This window comes from Homo sapiens, chromosome 1 (genome assembly GCF_000001405.40).
Source record: "Homo sapiens chromosome 1, GRCh38.p14 Primary Assembly".
In the NCBI taxonomy this organism is placed as follows: Eukaryota; Metazoa; Chordata; class Mammalia; order Primates; family Hominidae; genus Homo; species Homo sapiens.
In genome coordinates, this window is record NC_000001.11 from 154,903,519 (window position 1) to 154,922,570 (window position 19,052).

The window sequence follows — 19,052 nt, forward strand, 5'->3', positions numbered from 1 at the left end:
AGAGGATCATTTGAGCTGGGGAGGTTGAGGCTGCAGAGAGCTGTGACCATGCCACTGCACTCCAGCCTCGGTGACAGAGTGAGTGAGACCTTGTCTCAAACACACACACACACACACACACGTGCAGGTACCTCATTCTCTCAGGAGCTGAACTCAGTGCTGGCACAGGGCACCACATAATCCTAACATCTTCTTTTGTGACTAACATTTCTGCACATCTCTCACCTTATGTCTTCAAAACAAAGGCAACGAAATCCGAACGCTGTAAAGGTGTGTGGGTTGCCGCACAACCAATGTTGCTGATGAACTCTGCTTTAGAATACAGGGAAGATTTCAGTGGAGAATTGTTTCAGTAAAAGAAAAGACAAATGAATTAATTTGTCAAACCCTTTTATATAAGCACAACATATCTTTCACCAGAAGGGCTGAATGTTCGTTTTCTTCCTTCCCTTCCTGTTTCAAACACGACTATGGAAGTATTCGTCGACTACCAGAGCATTCTTAACTGTTGTGCACAGTAGTTGAGGAATATTTTCAATATCGAATAATTTGTATTATGGAGCCAGGCATGCTGGCACATGCCTGTAATCCCACCTACTTGGGAGCTCAGGTGGGAGGATCATTTGAGGCCAGAAATTTGAGACCAGCCTGGGCATAGTGATTAGTGAGACCCTCTATGAAATTTTAAAATAATAATAAAGAGTATGGTGCTTAGCAAAATACCTAAAAATAAATAAATAATTCTTATTACTCTTAAATTAGTAAATATGTAGGCCTAGATGTAAATGCATAAAGCTCAATTATTACATTGGCTGTGAGGTAAATACTAGATATTGAATACTAGAATTGGAAATAGTTTTATTTTTGTAAAAACGTGTAATAAAATTTAAATTTTTGTAAAATCAAATTTAGAATAATTGTCTTTATTCAAAAAATTTGCTTTCAATTTTTTATATTCATTTATTTAAACCAATATTTTGCCTTTTATTTTAATAGATAAGTTGATGCCTTTGGCTATTCAGATTGTTATAACAAATTATCTTGGATTAGGTAATTTATAAACAACAGAAATTTCTTGCTCACAGCTCTGGAGGCTGAGAAGTCCAAGATTGAGACACCAGCAGATTCAGTGTCTGATGAGGGCCTATTCCTCATAGCTGGTGCCTTCTATGCATCCTCACGTGGCGGAAGAGGGGAACAAGCTCCCTCAGGTCTCTTTTTTCCTCTCTCTTTTTAATCTTTTTTTTTAATTTTTAATTTTTCTGGGTACATAGTAGGTGTACATATTTGTGGGTTACATGAGATATAAGAGCTGAGTGATACAGGCGTGCCATACACAATAATCACATCAGGGTAAATGGGGTATCCATCACTTCAAGCATTTATCCTTTGTGTTACAAACAATCCAATTATATTGTTCTAGGCTTTTTTGTTGTTCTTTTTTTTTTTTTTTTTTTTTGAGACAGGGTCACCCAGGCTGGAGTGCAGTGGAGCAATCTTGGCTCACTGCAGCCTCAACCTCCTGGGCTCAAGTGATCCTTCCACCTCTCAGCTCCCCCTGAGTAGCTAGGATTACAGACACACACCGGCACACCTTGCTAATTTTTGTGTGTTTTTCGTAGAAACAGAGTTTTGCCATGTTGCCTAGGTTTTGTTATTTTTAAATGTACAATTTTGTTTTACTATATTCGCCCTGTCGTGCTAGCAAATACTAGATCTTATTCATTCTTTTTTTTTTTTTTTTTTTGAGACGGAGTCTCGCTCTGTCACCCAGGCTGGAGCGCAGTGGCGCGATCTCGGTTCACTGCAACCTCCACCTCCCAGGTTCAAGCGATTCTCATGCCTCAGCCTCCCAAGTAGCTGGGACTACAGGCATGCGCCATCACGCCCGGCTGATTTTTGTATTTTTGGTAGAGACGGGGTTTTGCCTTGTTGGCCAGGCTTGTCTTGAGCTCCTGACTTCAGGTGATCCACCCGCCTCAGCCTCCCAAAGTGCTTAATTTTGGCCTCCCAAAATTAAGCCTCCCAAAGCTACCTCGCCCAGCCTTAATTTCTTAGTGTTTTACATTTATTGCAATGTATATTTTAATGAAAAATATTCAGATTCTATACTTTTTAGAAAAAATGACTTTTATACTTTTATCTAGATCATTACTATCAACAGCACACAAATTAGGTGAAGATCTTCATCAAATTAATATAATTTGTGATTTTCTAAAATAAAGGCAAGAAAAATAAACGTTATGGAAAAATAGAATAATTTATAAGTGACATTTACCTTCATTACTTATGCAATCATCTCTGGCACATTAATAGAACATCTAGACATATACAACAATAATTAAATTCAATCAATTTTGATATGTTGGCAACTTTGAGTTACATATTTTTCAGCTTTGTCATTATAAAGGTATATTTGTCAAAGTAGGAGGTTAGAATATATATACATATATATGAACATATGAATATATATGTGAATATATATATATATATATATATATATATTTTTTTTTTTTTTTTTTTTTTTGAGACAGAGTCTCACTTTGTTGCCCAGACTGGACTGCAGTGTTGCAATCTTGGTTCACTGCAAACCTCTACCTCCCCGGTTCAAGTGATTCTCCTGCCTCAGCCTCCCGAGTAGCTGGGATTACAGGCATGAGCCACCACGCCCAGCTAATTTTTGTACTTTCAGTAAAGATGGGGTTTTACTATGTTGGCCGGGCTGGTCTCGAACTCCTGATCTCAGGTGATCCACCTGCCTCGGCCTCCCAAAGTGCTGGGATTACAGGCGTGAGCCACTGCGCCCAGCCACATTTTATTTATTTAACAGTTTGTTAGTTTTATTTATAACTTTTTTTTTTTGAGACAGGGTCTCACTATGTTCTTCAGGCTGAACTCAAACACCTAGGCTCAAGCAACCCTCCCACCTCAGCCTTCCTAGTAGGTAAGAGTACAGGCGTGAGCCTGGCTTATTTATAATTTTTGAATGTTTAGACATCTAGTATGTAGGCCTCTTGTTCCAGCCCCACAAATGTGAGGGGCAGTTCCATAGGCCACACCTCAGACTCTTACTAAGGATCACGGAAGGAAAGCACAAGGCCGAGGAGAAACAGCTCCAGCTACTAGAGATGGCGCTACTCTCAGGGCCCCAGGCCCACCACCACGATGAGCTCCCAGCCAGCCCACAGAGGAAATAAAGAGGTTCCCCAGTAGCCAGGGACAGCCCACCTTTCCCATTGAAGAGCATTCTTTTCCCAGGATTATGGATCCTTCCGGAGAAACCCCAGCCCTACCAAGAGAGGGTGCTCTTGCTCTATGGCCCCAAGTACAGCAGCCCACAATATTCATTCATCTTTCATTCAATCGGCAGGGATTGGCCAGGTGCTGTGTGAGCTAGACACTGGAGAAGCATGGTGCTTGCCCTCATGCTGCCTACAGTCCAGTGGGAGACAGACAACATGACCACAAACAGGCCACCTGCGGCCCATCCCATTCAGGCGCTACTGCACTGGGTCCAGACAGCTCTGGCTTTAGTCTGTCCTCCAAGACAAAGTATGAGCGCATCACATCCATGGGTCCTACCAGCAGTTCTTGTCACCTCAGCTCTGGACACCCCACAAACCACTGGCCTACAAGAACACTCAATCCCACAAGACAAACAGCAGTCTGCAGCTCAGCGTCCTCTAAATTCCTACAGATTCAAGAAATAGTTTTCCTTCCCCCAACTCCCCAAAAGTGAGGATGGGCCGGGCATGGTGGCTCACGCTTATAATCTCAGCACTTTGGGAGGCCAAAGTGGACAGATCACTTGAGGACAGGAGTTTGAGACCAGCCTGGCCAACATGGGGAAACCCCATCTCTAAAAAACACAAAAAAATTAGCCAGGCTTGGTGGCACATGGTAATCCCAGCTACTCAGGAGGCTGAGGCAGGAGAATCGCTCGAACCCAGGAGGTGGAGATTGCAGTGAGCCAAGATCGTGCCACTGCACTCCAGCCTGGGCAAACTCTGTCCCAAAAAAAAAAAAAAAAAAAAGTAAGAATGGCTCAGAGGCAGAGCTCCGGCTCAGTTACGCACAAGAGATGATGTTGCCAAACAGAATGATGGATCAAAGCTAGTGCACTCAGGTATCCTGGGACTGCATTCTGCCCAAGCACTGGGTAAGTGCTTACTTCATATGTGCGTAATGAAAGGGCTCCTTTGGGCAATTTTTCTGAAACGAAGAGACTCCCTGATCCTAAAGGGAATTGATCTCACCACCTCTAAATATAAAAATTCCTTGCAACTTTTCCATAGCAGTTTTTCCCTTTTCAGTTTACCAAGTCTTCAAAAATCTGAAGGTTGGGTCTCGGCCAGGTACCCTGTTCCAGTGTGAGTGATGGAAGGGAGCCCGTTACGGAAGAAGCACGCTTCAAGAGCCAACATGAAGCCACTCCGAATACAGCGCATAGGACGCCCATGTAAAGACAGGAAAACTCCAGAGTCATCCATATTAAGGTGATCTCACCAAGGAAGGAGGCAAAAGAGAGAACAGAAGGCAGGGCCTGAGGAACACCTGTATTTCTAGGACAAGAAGAGAGGATGTTGGGAAAAGCTGAGTGTTAGGAGAAGCTGAGGCAGGGTTTGCATGTCTGACACAATGTAAAAGAGTCTTGGAACATGTCCGGGGTCCAGGGTCTAAAACCCCTTGTGGCCTTTGGAACACCAAGCTCTGTGCTAAAGGGTGGAAGGCTACCCTGACGCACCATAATCTAAGCCCAGGGCATAAAATCCCTCGTGACTTGGATAGAATCCAGGGCTCATGGCTCTGGAATGTGTCTAGACTTGCTGGCTCCTTGCTCTCCCAGGATCAATTGTATCTTGAGTTAAAAGAACCTACTCTCACTATCTCAAGTAGCAGAAAATGTTCCTTATAAATGCTAAACCATCACAGCTATAGATCATGTGCCTGCCCTTTTGACCTCCACATTCTCACCACCTGTTTCTTTGTTGGATTACTAATAAATACCACAGGGTCCCAGAGCTCAGGGCCTTTGCAGCCTCCACAATCGCGATGGCCCCCTGATCCCACCTTTCTCTCTCAAACTCTTTTTCTCAATCCTTTGAATTTGCCGGATTTTGTCACCCCTACGACCTGGTGTTGGGTCTGATCACCCCAACAAGAGGAGGAGTCAGAAATAGAAAAGGCAGGAGCAGAAAGGCAGGAGAACCAAAAAAGTGAATTCAAGAGAGAGGGAGTGGAGTGGGTGAGTTGGTCGGCTGATGCAGACTGGTCATGAGGGAGAACTAAAGACGCTGTCAGTGGTGGGTGACCTTCAAGAAGCAGTTTCAGTAGAGACAGGAGCAGAGGTCAAATTGCAAAGTGTTCAGGAGTAAAGGGGACAAAATAACTGAGATGATACTGGAGGGGTCAGCAGAAGGAAAGCTGTTTCAGGACAGGCGAGGATGGAGAAATTGGAAAACATGAGAGAGAGGGGCTAGTTAATGTGGCAGGGCCATAGATGGGGGTGGGCACTAGTGAGCAGCTAAGCACGGAAAGACTCACCACCGAGGCAGGAGGAAGGGATGGGAGGAGGAGAATGGGGTTGAGGAGATAAGGCGGGGACACAGGCTAGGGCTCAGCCGCTCTGGCTTTCATCACCTGCTCAGCTTCCTGATGCCTGGAAAAGAGACAACATCAATGTGGCCACACCACCACTGTGTGTCTGGGACCTGAGCTAATGGATCCATGTGCCCCAGAGCCCAGGCTCTTTCATGGTCCTAATTATGGCCTCCTGACCAGTGGTGGATTCACTCTCTTATTCACTTTTTCAACATTTACTGCCCACCGGCCACATGAGAAATGCTAGGAGTTGCATCAGTAAGAGGGACCAGAGAGCTCAGAGGGTTGCAGGGAGGACAGTTACATAGACTTTCCCAGGAGATGGTGAGGCTAGACAGAGCATGCTGTAGAATTCCAGAGCAAGGACACCTCACCTTGGGGAAGGAGTAGCAAAGCCAGAGAATGAAGTGACACGGAACCAAAGCAAGAGGAAGAGTTGGCCAGGAGAGCAGAAGGGGCAAGAGCGTTCCAGGAGAGAAACAGTACACACAAAGGTAAGCAAAGGTGAGCAGGAGCCTGGCAAGCCCTAGGAACTGGGAGCAAAATGTTCAGAATGCTACTCGGAGGCTGAGGTGGGAGGACTCCTGAGCCCAGGAGTTTGAGACCAGCCTGGGCAACATAGCAAGACCCAGACCCCCTCTCAAAAAAAAGTTCAGAATGGAGAGCACAGCACCAAAATGGTCATCCAAGGGGTGAGACCAAAGCCATAGTAAAAGGGCCTGCCCAGGCTATTCAGCAAAAAGTACCAAATAACATGAAATAAGGACCTAATTATGGGCAGACAGCCATAGGTCACTATATCCTAAGACCAAAACTGTGTACATTGTGTACTGAATAAAATCCATAACCCTTGCCAGGAGTTGGGGCAGGGGTGACTGCAGTGGCTAAATCAGTGACCAGAAGAAACATGGACTCCTGGAAGCAAAGGCGGGTCCCAGGAAGTCACAGCGCCAAGATATGGAGCTGACCATCCATCCGGCCAGCACTAGGCAAGGTCAAACCCCTCCCTGAGATGTAAGTGGAGGAAACCCAGGCTCAGATGAGTCAAACTACCCCGAGAAAGAGGGTGGAAGAATGAGGGCATACATGAGGTGGCACTGCTGTGTGCCCCAAGCTCCTTCCATCTCCCATCACACCTGGGTAAGTCCCAATGGCAGCAACTACATAGGGAAGGGTCACGATGGCCTGCTTGGCTTGCAGGAGTCAGCTCATCTAATTCCATAGACTCTGCAAGTCACTGTCACATCACTTCACCCTCCCTCCTCCTGAAAGTATTATCATCCCTGTTATCACACGGTTGTATTTTCTTGTCTGTTACCCCTACTGATCTGTGAGCTCCCCAAAGGCAAGGGCTGGGTTTTGTTCAACCTTATATGTCCTGATTCATGTATAATGGGTGATAGATACTCCTTGGTTAAATGAATGAATGAATGGGCTCCAAGCTCCATACTAGGTTTGGCTTAATGGAAGTTGACCATAATTGACAATACCAATTTTTGAGCTGGTCAAGTTCAATCCCACCAGATGTCATGAAAATGGAGCCCATGAAGAATGATTGACAGAAGGAAACCAGGTATGACCAAGGCTTAAGTTGCACCTCACTCATGCTTACATGGCCTATACATCCTGAGTGTGGACCTTCCAGATTCACCTCTGTTGTCAAACAAAAAACTACCTGTGGCCATGGTGGGAAGGGGTTCGAGTCCTGAGGTGTGCTGAGGAGCCACTCACTCGGGGCCCCAGGGCCACCAAAGGACACACCGAGCCTGTGCAGGGCTGATTTTGGTTGGCCACACTCCCAGTTCAAGGTAGGCTCAGACCATTCATTGTTGATCCCATTCATAGGGCCCACACCCAGAGCAGGTGGGGGAAGCTTCTGGGAGGGCCCCTGGAACCCTGGAGGACCAGCCTGTGGGCATATTGCAAGTCTGGGCCAGCCAGACATGCTGAGAGGAGACAAAAGAGCAGGGGTGGAGGTGGGAGAGCCCCGGGCACGCCAGCCTGAGCTCCACATTACACAGACATGGCGTCAGCATTTTGCCCTTCACACCTTCATGTCTATTTCCATGTTTCCCCTTTATTTCTTAATAAGAATTCCTTTTCCAAAACTGCCAGCTTTATCTCACATATACCAAAGAGTAAGGGGGAGAAGACACTAAAAATGGAATAGAAGTTCAATCCCAGGCCCAACTCCACTGTCTTGGGCTGTGTGATTTGAGGTCAGGGGAAAAGGAAAAAGTCAGTCCCTGGCCTCTTGCTCCAGGCAAGTGCTGTGCTGCCTAAACAAACCTCCATGTGAGCAGCATTATCCCCTTTGTACAGGCAGGAATCAAGGCTCAGAAAGGTAACCTAACTTGCTCAAGATCCCACAGGTGGATAGTGACAGGTGGGATTCAAATCTGACTCCAAAGTGTGCTGGGCAAAGTCATTTCATCTTTCTGTGTCCCCATTTCTTCAGTTTTAAAATGGAAATGACAATAGGGCTATTGCAAGGATTAGATGAAATAATATATGGGAAAACACATGGTAAATCATGAAGCATGCCATCATGTTATCTTCCCTTGACCCACTGCTTCCCCACTGACCCTGCCCAGGCAAGGTTCTGAGCCCCTCTCTCTCTAGTGCTTTCTTCAAGAGGTGCTGAGAGTAACTTTGCCAAATGGATCCAAGTCCTTGGCCCCCTGCCCTTCCTGGCACACTCAGCCAATACTCAACAGAATTTATAGTGCGGTTCCTGGAACATCCCAGATCTGCTAGAACAATGCCCAATCCAATCCAGCTGTCCTGAGGACAGCCAGCCACTGCAGCAGAAGAGCTGAGGAGCCAAAGCTACCACTGGCTCAGTTCTAATATGCCTGGAAATTCACCAAAGGTGTCACGGCAGAAGGACATTGCTGGGCATGTCCCATTTAGCAGACACAGTCAATGCCCAGATGGAAAACAGCCACAGTGAAGGGCAGGGCCTCCCCCACCTCAGGAATCTCAGCCTCAGCACCCTAGGAACAGCAAGTCCAAGTCTGTTCCCATCTCTCCCACCCCATCATCCTCTAGCACACAGCATTATTCCCTTCTGGGAAGTGACTCTGTGGCTTCCTCATCCTGGTACAGCTTGATTCACCTAAGCAGGACATGCCAGGTGGAATAGGCAGGTGGCCTGGCCTCTTCAGAGTAGGCTGGACAAACCCAGGAAGCAGGGAACTGGGCTGAACTCCCATGGGCTCAGGCTGAGCCGTCTCTGCCCTCCTCCGATAAAGGGCACAGGTTCATGCTCTCTGAGACATTTAGGGTGAGGGAAGGGCACGGAGTGGGGAGTCAGAAGCCTTGGGGCCAACTTTTGGCATTGCCAGTCATTGCCGCTTGACCTTGAGCAAACCACTTCCCCTCTCTGAGCCTCAGTTTCCTCGTCTGTAAGCAAGAGGTTTCGAGCTAGATCACTGAGGTCCATTACAATACTCACTTTGTGTGACATCACATATCTAGGTGGTGATCTCTCAGAAAGTCTCACACAGTCCCTAACATAGGCCTTCAACAAGCCCAGAAACTGGCAAGTGTTAAAGACAAAATAACATAGCAGGAAGCAGGCATCAGTTTCACCTCTCGTCTCCTGGGGGAGCTGTCACTGCCATGAGCTTGGGCTCCCAAAGAACTTGCCTTTGGCTGGATGTTCCTGGGACTCACCTGGAAGAAAATAATTAAAATCCTAAACTGTAAAGGGGGACCCATCACTTCACTTGGCTGTCAGACAACATGACACTGTCCAGATCCTGAATTAGGCCATGAGAGTGAGAGCTGATCCCCGTCTAATGAAAGTTGTTAAACTCCCTGTCACCTGTTTATCAGGTAGCAAGTGAACAAGACAAATGCCAGCATTCATCACAGCTCAGCTGCCAGCAGGAATGTCCTGGGCATGAGAGCTGGTGGCAAGCACAGGGTGCTTGGGTCCTTCCCTCAACATCAGAGAAAAGAAAACTGGGCAAAGAAGACATCTCTCTAGTCCCTTGCAGTGTCGGGCTCCAGGCAGGGAGCTACAGTGAGAAACTGAACCCAGGAATAGACAGGAAAGCTTTGCCACCTTGGACAAGTCCCTTTGTCTCTGGGCCTTATTTTACTACCTGTAAAATGAAGATAAAAATAGTATCAGATTGATGCAAGGGATAAAATATAGTCATAGACATGTGCTGTACAAGGAGCACGCAAATGAACTGGGTGATGATGGAAAAACAAAAGAGGTGTAGAATGTGTACAATGGTGCATTGGAACCAGCTTCAGCCACCTTCTACTGGCTTGCAAGAGCCAACATTTTGCATGTTCAGGGATTTTGCTAGCCAGCTGACATCCCACTGGTAGATTGAAATCAGCCACAGTGGGAATATTTACACTACAGAAATGGTCAAACACTACAAATCAGGGCTGTTTTTCCCCTTCCAGGGAGCTGATTGTTAAACATTTGCCAGCATGTGACTGTCTATAATGAGTAAGAGTAATGCAACGGGAGGCAATTTGTTCTTGCTTCAAACACATTCGCCATAACTTAATACATCCAAATGACTGCTAACTGCTTCATGACAATAAGCTTAGGAGGTCATATTGTTTTCTAACACATAAACTTTCTTCATTGTCACAAACATGTATTGAGACCTACTGATATGGTTTGGATGTTTATCCCCTCCAAATCTCATGTTGAAATGTGATCCCCAATGTTGGAGGTACAGCCTGATGGGAGGTGTTTGGGTCATGGGGCCAGAACCCTCATGAATGGCTTGGTGCCATCCCAGTGGTAATGAGTGAGTTCTCTCTCTGTTACTTCACAGGACAGCTGGTTGTTTCAAGGAGCCTGGCACCTCCTGCTGTCTCTCTTGTTCCCTCTCTCACCATGTGACACGCCTGCTCCCCCTTTGCCTTCAGCCATGAGCGGAGGCTTCCTGAGCCCTCACCAGAAGCAGAACAGATGCTGGTGCCATGCTTGTATAGCCTGTAGAACTCTTTACTTCATAAATTACTCAGTCTCAGGTACTCCTTTATAGCAATGCAAAACCGACTAATATACCTCTACTATGTGCAATGTACCAAAGACTCGAAAGGAAAAAAACCTTTCCTTACTTGCTCACAGCATGGTGGAGGAGTGAGAAAGTGTACACTGTGGAGCATTCTGGAAATGGAAGTGGAGTGCCCCTTGCTCTGCTCAAGTTGTAGGGGTCCAAGCCCAAGCAACTAGGAAGGGTACTTTAGGCAGCATGAATGGCACATGCGAAGATACAGAGGCTTGATTACTAAGGCAACTTTTAAAAATTCCTCTCTGAGAATTAACTTTGGTAAGTTTTAGAATTATTACATTACAGGACTATTTTTCCTGGCCATAAGATGTCTCTTTCACCAGAGTTTAGTACCAAATTCCCTTTGGTCGTTTCCAAAACCCAAATGCACTTTTGGGGATGAGAATTTGGCAGAGTTGAGGGCAGGTCCTCAAAGCAAAGAGGAGCTCCCAAAGCCATTTGATAAAGGCAACAGCCCTGAAGTGTCTCAGCCCAAATGCCCAAGGTGACTACTTTAGGTTACAGCAGACAGTTGGATGCACAAGACCATTTCAGTTCCCATCTCATTATTCAATAATGCTTTACCAGGAACAATAAGATGCCAACTTTTTCCTGTTAAGACACGTCCATATCTCTGCCTTGGAGAATGCCAGGATTTGAATTTCGAAAATGAAGACAAAAAGAAGAAAGAAAATATCCAAAAGCATCCAGGCAAAAAAAGAAGGTTACCTTCAAAGGAACAAAAGTCAAGGTGACCTCATACTCTCCAGACAGTGGAACCAGGTCATGAAACTTATGCCAACCAAGTCATTGTCCAAATATAGAGGCAAGAGAATGTCATTCTCTCATACATATAGGTTCAGAAAATAGATCATGGCCGGGCGCAGTGGCTCATGCCTCTAATCCCAGCACTTTAGGAGGCCGAGGCAGGCTGATCACTTGAGGTCAGAAGTTCGAGACCAGCCTGGCCAACATGGTGAAACCACATCTCTACTAAAATACAAAAATTAGCTGGGTGTGGTGGCACATGCCTGTAATCCCAGCTACTCAGGAGGCTGAGGCAGGAGAATCACTTTAACCCAGGAGGCAGAGGTTGCAGTGAGCCAAGATCATGCTGCTGCACTGCAGCCTGGGCGACAGAGCAAGACTCTGTCTCAAAAAAAAAAAAAAAAATCATCTACATACCATTTTCAAAAAATTTTTCAAGACACATTAACTATCTGGAGAGGAATCAAAATACAAAATTCAAAAATGGGGAAGTTGAGGTACTATAAAAGGATTGAAAATGAGCAATAAACCGGTGAAGTCTAAATTATAAATCATTGTTGTAAATTTGGTTTAAAGTTGGATGTTAGTCATTTGTGTGAAATTCTAGAACAGGCAAAACTAATCTATGGTGAAAGAATTCAAAACAATTGTTTCTGGGAAAGCAGGGATTGAGTAGGATGAGTTAAAAGGAAACCTTCTGAAATAATGAAAATGTGTTCTATCATGATAAGGGTTTGTGTTATACAGGTGTGCACATTTGTCAAAACTCATTGTACTGTATTCTTAAGGTCAGTACATTTCACTGTGTGTGATTATACCTGAATTTAAAAAATAAATATGTTAACAATATTGAGCCAGGTGCGGTGGCTCATGCCTGTAATCTCAGCACTTTGGGAGGCTGAGGTGGGCGGATCACTTGAGGTCAGGAGTTTGAGACCAGCCTGGCCAACATGGTGAAACCCCATCTCTACTAAAAATACAAAAAGTAGCCGGGTGTGGTGGCATGTGCCTGTAATCCCAGCTACATGGGAGGCTGAGGCACAAGAATCAGTTGAACCTGGGAGGCAGAGGTTGCAGTGAGCCGAGATCACACCACTGCACTCCAGCCCAAGCAACAGAGTGAGACTCCAACTCAAAAAAATAAACAATATTGAGTCTTCCAATATATGAATGTAGTATAATCTCTTTGCTTATTTAGTCTTTTAATTTCTCTTAGCAATGTTTTGTCATTTTCAATGTACAGATGTTATGTCTTCTATCAGATTTATCCCTATTTCATATTTTGATGGTATTGTAATTGGCATTATTTATCTCAATTTGATTGCTCATTGCTAAGAAATAGAAATATTGACTTTTGTATATTGACCTTGCAACTTTATTGAACTCACTTATAAGTTCTAATAGCTTTTTTGGAGAATCCATCCAATTTTCTACATAGATGATCATGTCATCTATGAATAAAAGGAGTTTTATTACTTCCTTCCCAATTTAGATGGCTTTTTTTTTCTCTCTCTTATTGCACTGGCTAGAACCTCCAGTAGAATGTCGAATAGGTGATGAGAACAAACATCATTGCCTTATTCCCAGTCTTAGGGGGAAAACATTTAGTATTTCACCACTAAGTGTGTTGTTAGCAGTAGGGCTTTTACAGATATTCTTTATGAGGCTGAGTATATTCCATCTACATTAAGCCATTTTTGCATTGCTATAAATACTTGAGACTGGGTAATTTATAAAGAAAAGAGGTTTAATTGGCTCACTGTTCTGCAGGCTTTACAGGAAGCATGGTGCTGGCATCTGCTCAGTTTCTGGGGAGGCTTCAGGAAGCTTACAATCATGGCAGAAGGCAAAGGAGGAACAGGCATGTCATATGGCAAGAGTAGGAGCAAGAGAGAGGGAGATTATGGGGAAGGTGCCATACACTTTTTTTTTTTTTTTTAATGAATCCAGACAAGGTCTCACTATGTTGCCCAGGCTAGGCTGGTCTTGAACTCCTGGGCTCAAGTGATCTTCCTACCCTGGCCTCTGCCACACACTTTTAAACAAACAGATCTCGTGTGAACTCAGAACAAAAGCTCACTTATGACTCAGTTGATGGCCTAAGCCATTCAAAAGGGATCTGCCCCCATGATCCAAACACCTCCCACTAGGCCCCAGCTCCAACACTGGGATTACATTTCAACATGCGATTTGGGTGAGGACAAATATCCAAACTATATCACCATCCTATTTCAAGCTTGCTGACAGATTTCATCAAATGTGAATACAGGATTTGTACCAAATTAGTCATTAGGAAAATGCAAATAAAATACCAATGAGGGCCAGGCGCAGTGGCTCACGCCTGCAATCCCAGCACTTTGGGAGGCTGAGGCAGGCAGATCACTTGAGGTCAGGAGCTCGAGACCAGCCTGGCCAACATGGTAAGACCCCGTCTCTACTAAAAATACAAAAATTAGCCCAGCATGGTGGCATGTATCTGTAGTCCCAGCTACTCGGGAGGCTGAGGCAGGAGAATCACTTGAACCTAGGAGGTGAAGGTTGCAGTGAGCCGAGATCATGGCACTGCACTCCAGCCTGGGCGACAGAGTAACAGAGTAAGACTCTGTCTCAAAAAAAAAAAAAAAAAAAAAAAAAAAGTCAATGACATACCACTACATACTTACTATAATGGCTAAAAGGTAAAAGACTCATCATATAAAGTATTGGTAAGAATGCACACCAACTGTAACTCTCATTCACAATTGGTGGGACTGTGGTACAACCACTTTGGAAAACAATTTGGCAGGGATTTCTTTAAAAGTTAAAAAGGTAAGCCAGGAGCAGTGGCACACGCCTGTAATCCCAGCACTTTGGGAGGCTGAGGCGGGTGGATCGCCTGAGGTCAGGAGTACGAGACTAGCCTGGCCAACATGATTAAACCCCATCTCTACTAAAAATACAAAAATTAGCCAGGCATGGTGGCACATGCCTGTAATCCCAGCTACTTGGGAGGCTGAGGCAGGAGAATCGCTTGAACCTGGGAGGCGGATGTTGCAGTGAGCTGAGATCGTGCCATTGCACTTCTGCCTGGGCAACAAGCGTGAAACACAGACTCAAAGAAAAAAAAAAGAAGAAGTTAAAAAGGTAGGCCGGGTGCAGTGGCTCATGCCTGTAATCGCAACACTTTGGGAGGCCAAGGCAGATGGATCACCTGAGGTCAGGAGTTTGAGACCAGCTTGACCAACATGGTGAAACCCTGTCTCTACTAAAAATACAAAATTAGCCAGGCATGGTAGCAGGTGCCTGTAATCCCAGCTACTTAGGAGGCTGAGGCAGGAGAATCACTTGAACCCAGGAGGCAGATGTTGCAGTGAGCTGAGGTTGCACCATTGACTCCAGCCTGGGCAACAAGAGCAAAACTCCGTCTCAAAAAAAAAAGTTAAGACCAGGCATGGTGGCTCACGCCTGTAATCCCAGCACTTTGGGAGGCCGAGGTGGGCAGATCACCTGAGGCCAGGAGTTCGAGATCAGCCTGACAACATGGCAAAACCCCATCTCTACTAAAAATACAAAAATTAGCCTGGCATGGTGGTGCATGCCTATAATCCCAGCTACTCGGGAGGCTGAGGCAGGAGAATCGTTTGAACCCGGGAGGTACAGACTGCAGTGAGCCAAGATCACGCCATCACACTCCTGCCTCGGCAACCAGACCAAAACTCTGTCTCAAAAAAAAAAAATGTTAAAAAGGTGGCTGGGCATAGTGGCTCATGCCTATAATCCCAGCACTTTGGGAGGATGAGGCAGGCCTCAGCCTGCCAAACTCCTGGGCTCAGGAATGCTTGAGCCCAAGAGTTTGAGACCAGCCTGAGCAACATGGAGACACCTTGTCTACAAAATACAAAAAAATTTAGCCAGGCATGGTGGTTTATGCCTGTAGTACCAGCTACTCGGGAGACTGAGATGGGAGGATCACTTGAGCCCAGGGGGGTCGAGGCTGCAGTGAGCCGTGATCATGCCACTGCACTCCATCCCAAGCAACAGAATGAGACACAGTCTCCAAAAATAAAGTTAAGCCACGCCCGGTGGCTCATGCCTGTGGTCCCAGCACTTTAGGAGGCTAAGGCAGGCAGATTGCTTGAGCCCAGGAGTTCGAGATCACCCTGGGCAACATGGCAAAACCCAGTCTCTATGAAAAAACACAAAAAGTAGCTGGGCATGGTGGCAGGCACCTGTAGTCCCAGCTACTCAGGAGGCTGAGGCAGAAGAATCGCTTGAGCCCAGGAGGTGGAGGTTGCAGTGAGCTGAGATCCTGTCACTGCATTCCAGTCTGGGCGACAGAGCAAGACTCTGTCTCAAAAACAAAAGTCGGCCGGGTGTGGTGGCTCACGCCTGTAATCCCAGCACTTTGGGAGGCTGAGGCGGGTGGATCACCTGAGGTTGGGAGTTTGAGACCAGCCTGACCAACATGGAGAAACCCTGTCTCTACTAAAAATACAAAATTAGCTGGGCTTGGTGGCACATGCCTGTAATCCAAGCTACTCAGGAGACTGAGGCAGGAGAATCGTGTGAACCCGGGAGGCAGAGGTTGCGGTGAGCCGAGATTGTGCCATTGCACTCCAGCCTGGGCAACAACAGCGAAACTCCGTCTTAAAAAAAAAAGTTGAAAAGATATTTACCTGAGAGAAATGAAAGCACATGTCCACACAAAGACTTATACATGTTGTACATCAATGTATATAGTTGCTTTATTTGTCATATCCAAACACTAGGAACAACCTAAATGTTCATCAACAGGTGAACTGGTAAACAACTGTGGTATATTCATACCACATACCAATAAAAAAAAAGGAATGAACTACTGATACCACCAATAATGTGGATGAACCTCAAAATAATTATGCTCAATGAAAAGAAACAAGACAATAAAGAATATATACTGTTCTTTGTATAAAACTTTATTAATCTTTTTTTTTTTTTGAGATGGAGTCTGGCTCTGTCACCCAGGCTGGAGTGCAGTGGCACGATCTCAGCCCACTGCAACCTCCGCCTCCCTGGTTCAAGAGATTCTCCTGCCTCAGCCTCCCACGTAGCTGGGACTACAGGCATTCGCCACCACACCTGGCTAATTTTTAGTAGAGATGGAGTTTCACCATGTTAGCCAGGCTAGTCTTGAACTCCCGACCTCAGGTGATCTGCCCTCCCTTGAGCTCTCAAAGTGCTGGGATTACAGGCGTAAGCCACTGCATCTCGCCAAATTTTATTATTCTTTATACAAAATCCTTGAAAATATAAACATCCATAGAGACAGAAAGCAGACCAGTGGTTGCTTGGGGGTGAGGGTGGGGAATCAGGGAGAGGCGAGAGGAGGAATTACAAGGGGACATGAGGAAATGTTTGAGAGTGATGAATATGTCCATAGTGATTGTACTGTGGTTTCACAGATGTATACATATGTCAAAACTCAGTAAACTGTACTTTTTTTTTTTGAGATGGAGTCTTATTCTGTTGCCCAGGCTAGAGTGCAGTGGCGCCATCTTGGCTCACTGCAACCTCTACCTCCTGACTCAAGTGATTCTCCTGCCTCAGCCACCCAAGTAGCTGGGATTACAGGCATGTACCACCATGCCCAGCTAATTTTTGTATTCTAGTAGAGACGGGGTTTCACCGTGTTAGCCAGGCTGGTCTCGAACTCCTGACCTCAAGTGATCCACCCGCCTCAGCCTCCCAAAGTGCTGGGATTACAAGTGTGAGCCACCGTACCCCACCTAAATTGTACATTTTAAATATATGTAGTTATTATATTTTAATTATAGCTCAATAAAGTTGTTTAGAAATATAATAATAAATTTTTAAAGAGGCTGTTAGTGTTACAAATCATGACTAAAATAACATATACATACATTCATGGGTGGGTAATAAATAAAAAAAGAAGAAGTAGTAAAATAACAGACACATAATATTAAAAATAACTTGGCCAGGCATGGTGGCCCATGCCTGTAATCCCAGCACTTTGGGAGGCCAAAGTGGAAGCTTCGTTTGAAGCTAGAAGTTCAAGACCAGCCCTGGCAACATAGTGAGACCCCCATCTCTACAAAAAAAATTTAAAATTAGCCAAGCATGGTGGCGCGTACCTTAGTCCTAGCTACTCCAGAGGCTGAGGTGGGAGGATCACTTGAGTCCAGGAGTTTGAGGCTGCAGTGTGCTATAATCATGCCACTGCATTCCAGCCTGGGTGACAGAGGGAGACCCTGTCTTAAAGAAAAAAATAAATAAGTAGCTTTATACTCTGAGATTATAACCACAGACAAAGTGAGCAAAGACTATAGGTTGAGTATCCCTTATCCAAAATGCTGGGGACCAGAAGTGTTTTGAATTTCTGATCTTTATTTTAAAATATTTGCATTATACTTACCAGTTAAGCATCCCAGATCCAAAAACACAAAATACAAAATGCTCCACTCATCATTTCCTTTGGGCGTCATATCAGCCCTCAAAAAGTTTTGGACTTCGGAGTACCTCAGGTTTCAGATTTTTGGACTCGGGATGGTCAACCTGTAGCAGTGAAGTGGGGAGAATGTCTTGAAATAAAAAGCAGCTAAGGCTCTCATCATAACATATAGTGTCAAAAGTGAGGGTTATTCTTGGTTTTTATATTTAGGGAAATATCAGTTAAAAAAAATTATGAGCTGGGCGCAGTGGCTCATGCCTGTAATCCTAGCACTTTGAGAGGCCAAGGCAGGAGGATCACTTGGGCCCAAGACTTCAAAACCAGCCTGGGCAACACAGCGAGACCCCATCACTAAAAAAAAAATTTTTTTAATTAGCTTGGCATGGTGGTACACACCTGTGGTCCCAGCTACTCAAGAAGCTGAGATAGGAAGATCACCTGGGGTCAGGAGGTTGAGACTGCAGTGAGCTGTAATTGCACCACTGCACTCCAGCCCAGATGACAGCGCAAGACCTTGCTTAAAAAAAAAAATTATGAGGCTGGGCGCAGTGGCTCACGCCTGTAATCCCAGCACTTTGGGAGGCCGAGACAGGTGGATCACCTGAGGTCAGAAGTTTGAGAACAGCCTGGCCAACATGGTGAAACCTCGTCTCTACCAAAAATACAAAACTTAGCTGGACGTGGTGGCGGGAGCCTGTAATCCCAGCTACTCGGGAGGCTGAAGCATTGAACCTGGGAGGTGGAGGTTGCAGTGAGCTGAGATTGTGCCACTGCACTCCAGCCTGGGTGACAGAGCGAGACTCCATCTCAAAAAAAAAAAAAAATATTATGAACTTCGAATCCGGCAGACACTGGGCTTCCTATTTTAAAAGGCATCACTACCAACCTGTCACCAGGTAGACAGACCCACTGGCTCCCAAGTCATAATCCTGTGTCTCCTCTAAATACCCAGAGCCAAGAAAGCAGGGCAGCACCCCTCCCGGAGGGCACAGGAGACCCACCAGTCCCTACCCCCCTGTCTGCATCAACTCTTACTCTAGTACCACACTTGATAGGTTCACATCCATCTGGAGCTTTGACCCTCATTGCCTACGAAGGCAGGGATTCACTGGCTTCCAAACTGAGAAGGTACTACCACATTCCCACATGCTGAAGACACCCCCTTCAGGGAAGGCGATAAAACCCAGGGTTTCTGGCACAAGTTTGAACTCCTCCATCTCCCC

At 45.5% G+C, this 19,052-nt stretch overlaps 1 long non-coding RNA gene across 1 annotated transcript, besides 1 other annotated feature; it reads right to left on the reverse strand.

Annotated features, from left to right (window-relative positions):
* Positions 7,477-7,977: an enhancer, noted in NCBI's record as "H3K4me1 hESC enhancer chr1:154883471-154883971 (GRCh37/hg19 assembly coordinates)". NCBI's record gives its function as "activates a minimal SCP1, AML or CMV promoter by ChIP-STARR-seq in naive H9 embryonic stem cells {active_cell/tissue: H9 hESC(naive)}" and the evidence as "EXISTENCE:reporter gene assay evidence [ECO:0000049][PMID:30033119]".
* Positions 7,659-18,115, reverse strand: LOC105371449 (uncharacterized). The gene is made up of 2 exons (XR_001738239.2): positions 17,794-18,115; positions 7,659-9,279 (listed from the first exon to the last, which is right to left on the reverse strand). It is a non-coding gene; the product is annotated as an uncharacterized LOC105371449 (long non-coding RNA).
* Positions 18,116-19,052: the final 937 nt, after the last annotated feature.